Raw genomic sequence first — 6,208 nt, forward strand, 5'->3', positions numbered from 1 at the left:
AAGACATTAAGATAGACCCAAATCAATGGACATCTGTTTGCTCCTGAAAGTGTGTTCTACAGACTGGCATCGTTGACATCAATATTCCTGTTGTCGGGTAGGAGGAATCAGTATCATTAAATATGACAGCTCCTCCCAAATCTATAGCATCAATGCAAATCAGAATAATATCCCAAGAAGTTTGTTACTGAATATGACTATCTGGTTCTAAATTTTATATGGAAGCTCAAAAACAAATGATAACCAAGAGGGAGGTGGAGTGAGACTTGCCTTACCAGATACTAAGCCGTATTGTAAGTAAGATAATACAGACTTGATGCAGGAATAGACCATAGAACAATATACAGAGACTAGAAACCACATATGAAAACTAGATTTATGATAGAATGGGAATCTCATACATAAATATCAATTCTAGGTGGATTAAATGTGGACTTAATGTAAGAGGCAAAGCCAGACTCTTAAGAATAAATTATAGGAAATAATTGTATGACCTTGGATTGGAGAAGGAGTTCTTAAGACATAAAAGGACAAATTATAAAGGGAAAGATTGATAAATTTGAATAAAATTAAGAACTCCTGATTATTAAAAGAGTGAAACGAAAAGTCCCAGACTAGGAGAAGATATTGAAACACAGATAATTGACAAAAGGACTTTTATCAAGAATAGATAATAAACCATACATATATGAGAACAATAGAAACCCAATAGAAAAATGGTCAACTCGGGCCGCCGCCGCTGCCGCTGAATCATTTGAGCTGCAGCGGGCGGTTTCGGCTCTTGGCCAGGAGCCACTTGTGCGGCTGCCCAGAGAACCAGAGGTCCTCGATCCCGTGTCGTCTTCCTCTTCGCCCCCAGGAGGAGCGAGAGGGAGCCGCGGTTGATGTGAGAAATAGACTTCCGGGAAATGGCCTCTAAATCCTGGCTGAATTTTTTAGCCTTCCTCTGTGGATCGGCAATAGGATTTTTTGTTGTTTTTTTTTTTTTAACGTTCTCAGCTATTTAGTATTTTGGGAGAATAGGGTGACACCCAGCCTAATATTCTTCATAATGATCCTCATGCGAGGCATTCAGATGATAATGGCACAATCATCTAGAAGGACAAATGAACTTCAATGCTGATTCTAGCCAACATAAAGATGAGAACACCGACATCGCTGAAAACCTCTATCAGAAAGTTAAAATTCTTTGCTGGGTTATGACAAGCCCTTAAAACCTAGAGAAAAAGGCCAAACTTATCAAAGTTACATGGGCCCAGCATTGTCACAAAGTGTTATGAGTTCAAAAGAAAATAAAGACTTCCCTACTGTGGGATTGAAAACCAAAGAAGGCAGAGATCAGCTATACTGGAAAACAAAGCTTTTCAGTATGTTCATGAACATTATTTAGAAGATGCTGATTGGCTTTTGAAAGCAGATGATGACACGTATGTCATAGTAGACAATTTGAGATGGCTTCTTTCAAAATATTACCCTGAAGAACCCATTTACTTTGGGAGAAAACTAAAACCCTATATGTAAAGCAGGGCTACATTGAGTGGAGGAGCAGAATATGTGCTAAGCAAAGAAGCCTTGAAGAGATTTGTTGATGCATTTGAAACAGACAAGTGTACATTTAGTTCCTCCATTGAAGACAGCACTGGGGAGATGCATGGAAATTATAAATGTGGAAGCAGGAGATTCCAGAGATACCACTGGAAAAGAAACTTTTCATCCCTTTATGCCAGAACATTTAATTAAAGGTTATCTACCCAGAACCTTTTGGCACTGGAATTACAACTGTTATCCTCCTGTAGAGGGTCCTGGTTCTTGTTCTGATCTTGCAGTTTCTTTTCACTACGTTGATTCTACAACTATGCGTGAGTTAGGATACCTCATTTATCATCGTCGTCTATATGATTATTTGTACAGATATCAACCTGCCTTACCTGAAAATACACTAAAGGAAATTAGTCAAGCAAACAAAAACGAAGGTACAAAAGTGAGGTTAGGAAACCCTTGAATGAAAGTAAATGATGAACAAAGGGAAAATGTCTAGCATTGCACTGAAGAAGGACTTTTGCATTTCTAACCTAGAACACTGGAATCCCAATGAGGAATTCTAAGTGAACATTCCATGTAGGAATCTTTCACATGAATGATTATAAACTTTAAATGAGCTTTAAATGAGCTGTGAAGTCTGTTAAAATGCGTTTTCGTACAGTAATATATAAATATATCTGTATATATGAAGAACTTGTGTTTTTAAAATGGTGACCAGGTAGAGGAACTAGAAAAGAGATTTTGTTGCCTATTTTTGACCATCTGTATTATTGTCACTGAGAAACTAAAACAATTAAATTTGCTAAAACTACAGTGCACCATGTTAGTAATAAACAGATCTGCCCCAAAGAAAATTAAAAAAAAGGGCAACAGACATGAACTGACATTTCACAGAAGAAAGTTTATAAATATATGAAATAAAATTTAATTTTATTCTGGAAAGTGCATATTAAGATCACAGGTGCCATTTTTTACCTACAATATTGGCAAAAAAGTTCAAAATGTAATTTGAGTATTGGCTAGTATACGGTGCAAGTGAAAATACTGCTGGAAGGGGTATAAATTCATACGACAATTTTGGAATCTAGTTTAACATTACTTGGTAAAGTAAATGTGCATATATCCCCAGGAGAAACTCATATCTTTACACTAGGAGACATTTACAAGAATGTTTATAGCAACATCATTTGTAATAGAAAACTGGAAACATCTCAAATAGCCACCAATAGAATAGATAAATAGTAGGACATTCATGCAATAAAATAGTATGGAGCCTGCAAATGTAAGAACTAGTTACATGAACATAAAAAGATCTTAACATTGGCAGGGTGTGATGGATCACAAGGTCAGGAGTTCAAGACCATCCTGGCCAAGATGATGAAACCTCGTCTCTACTAAAAATACAAAAATTAGCCGGGCATGGTGGCAGGCGCCCATAATCCCAGCTACTCGGGAGGCTGAGGCAGAGAATTGCTTGAACCCAGGAAGCGGAGGTTGCAGTGAGCCGAGCTCACACCACTGCACCCCAGCCTGGGCAACAGAGCGAAACTCCATCTCAAAAATAAAAATAAAAATAAAAAACTTAACATCTTTACTGGAATAAGCAAGTCACAGACGAATTCACACAGTATTCCATTTATATTAGAGATTCTAACATTTAGAGACATTAGAAAAGCAACGTAAGAAATCATTAATAAAATTCAGCATAGTTTTCTAGGGGCAAGAAAGTAGAGGGATGTAATCAAGGAGGAAGTCTCACACGGCATCTAATGTGCCATAACCAACCAGAATTGCTGGCATCCAAGCGTTTTTACTTTTTGGACGGTATATATTTTAATACACAAGTATGATGTATTTTATAATCAATAAAATAATAGAAATATGCTTACTATTGTATAAGTCTAGCTGAATTCTAGATCGTTTAAGTGACCATCATACCTAGAAGGTGATAGTAATAAATATTTAAAATAATACTTAGGTGTTTTTCCAAAAACATGTCAAATTCTACTTTAAAATTTTCTATTTATATTATCTGAAATTTTGTTTTAGTACATTTTACTTGAAATGGGAGATAATAGTCCAATGAGGGCATGGAAGTAACAAATAGTTAATGTTATAAAGAGTCTTCTGCCCTATCAGAGAATCTCAACATGAAAGAGAGGAAGATGTAGGTTGAAAAAGCATATTTTGAAACTATTATTGCTTTGATATATTTTCCTTCAAATAATATCAAAGGAGATTGTAAGGCTTAACACCACTTTCTCTCCAGATAGCCATAAAATTAGTCTTCTTACAGCACTAGGTGGAGGAAGCCAAGGGCCTGGTCACCAGTGTACCAAGTACTGGACTGGGGGCTGGGAGGACTTCAGTTACCAATAATGGTATCTCTAGGTCCACAACAAGGTAAACAGTTTGAAACATTGAGTTGCAGTTGATGCCACACAAAAATTTCTCTATTTGTTGTCTTGGTTGGGACACAGTGATTAGTACAAGTAATGTACCCGAATGGGGACTTAACAGTCATCCTCCCTTATGAAGCAGACTGCTGTAGAATTTCACGCAACTTGGGGCCACTCTGGTGAGCCTGTATATCTTCCTGACACGTTTGCACCTGGTGGTAATCTACCTGTGCCAAACCATTTCTGCCCTTATGGTGGTGTGGTATCTCATTTTTTTCAAATACTTTTCAGAGTCCTAACAGCTCTCAGATCTCAGAATGATGACCTCAATTGGAGCCTGCTTCCTGGAGAAATTGGCCAAGGTAGAGATTACGAGAACCAGAGTCATTCCAGGACAGATTAAACCTTAGCATTGTTGAAAGCAACTACCATTACATGACAGCTTGCCAAGATGGGTTGGGGAAGCCAGGATTTTGGTGATGAATAGTGTCTTCCAACATTTGAGAAACCTTAAGTACTATTGGGTTCTGTGTATTCATTCATTCAGAATTACCGAGTTGCCCATTAGATGTCAGGCACTGTGCTAGGGTCAAACTAAAAACTCCACCTGAAGATTAGCTAATATTTGCATGAAGCAGTGGATATTTTAATCTTTTTAGAGACAGGTCTTACTATGTTGCCCAGGCTAGACTTGAACTCCTAGGATCAAGTGATCCTCCTGCCTCAGACTCCTGAGTAGCTGGGACCACAGGTGCGTGCCACTGTACCCAGCAATTTTGCTCGATCTGTAGGGCTCCCAATCTGCTATGTCTGAGATCTTGTTGAATCTTATAGAGATAACTTAGAAAAGACGTAGCTCAGGAATTTCATTTTTTGGGCTTTCACATATATGCACTTTTCAGGGTTAGCCAAAAAGAGGTGGTGCTGCAGTATTCAGGATGTCTTATTTCTTGGAAGAAGAGTTTATGTGAGGTCATTATGGGATCTAAATCAGATAAGATATAGTTAGTATCTCTCTTCAGGTAGGATTCATTTAACAAATATTCTGGTTGCACATCCAGGTGCCAAAATGAATATAGCCATGAATGTAACATCCCTCATCTCTTGAAGATTATTTGTAGTGAGGAAAGGCAGACAATGATCAAATATATCAGTTTGTGTTAAAAATTATTAACCAGTATAAAGCAAGGTATTACTATATATGTTTGTCAAGGAAGATCCTTATGAAGTGTGGTTTGAACAGAGCTGAAAATATAGAGAGGGAGTGATAGTCATGTGGCTATCAGGGAGAAAACCATTCTTTTTTTTTTTTTTTAAGATGGAGTTTCGCTCTTGTTGCCCAGGCTGGAGTGCAATGGCGCGACCTCGGCTTACTGCAGCCTCCACCTCCCGGGTTCAAGCGATTCTTCTGCCTCAGCCTCCTGAGTAGCTAGGATTACAGGTGCCCACCACCATGCTGGCTAATTTTTTTGTATTTTTAGTAGAGATGGAGTTTCATCATGTTGGCCAGGCTTGTCTCGAACTCTTGACCTCAGGTGATCCACCAACCTCGGCCTTCCAAAGTGCTGGGATCACAGGTGTGAGCCATGATGCCCAGCCAGAGAAAACATTCTCGCAGAAGTAATAGTGCAAGTGCCCTAATTGAGGCAGCAAAAGGCTGGTAGAGTGAGGGAAGAGAAGAATGGTCAGAAATGGGTTCAAGAAGATATTTGGGGACATGATTTTGTAGGGCTTTATTGGGAATGGTAAAGATTTCAGGTTTTTTCATGGTATGACAAAATTTGGAAGCATATGAGCAGATAAGGTATAATCCTACATTTTATCACTGGTTACTATTTGAAAAATAAGCTGTTAGGGAACAATTCCAGAAGCAGGTGGACCAATTGGAATTAAAGCAAAGGCTTTAATATGGGTAAGAGAAAAAAGTATAGTTTCTTAGATTAGGGTAATAGCAGTGGAAACAAAGATTCCGAGTTTATTTTTAAGGTAAAGCTAACTTCGTCTGTTGCTGTATAGGTGAATATGAGAAAAAGAAATAAAGAACATCTCCAAAGTTTTTGACCTAAGAAAATGAAGAAGGAAAAAATAAGTCATCTAATAATGAAAGAAGACTGGGGAATGGGGTGGAAACTTTTGAGGGGGTAGGTATCAAAAATTTCATGCTGGATATGTTGAGTTTGAGAAAACAGACCACCAAGTGGACACACCAAGTAGTGATTTGAATATACATATTGGGAATTCAAGGTCAGTGTCAGGGCTAGAGATAG

General features: G+C 38.1%; 1 pseudogene; it reads left to right on the forward strand.

The window, feature by feature from the left end:
• C1GALT1P1 (C1GALT1 pseudogene 1) lies at window positions 729-2,196 on the forward strand (annotated as a pseudogene).

This window comes from Homo sapiens, chromosome 12, assembly GCF_000001405.40.
Source record: "Homo sapiens chromosome 12, GRCh38.p14 Primary Assembly".
Lineage (NCBI taxonomy): Eukaryota > Metazoa > Chordata > Mammalia > Primates > Hominidae > Homo > Homo sapiens.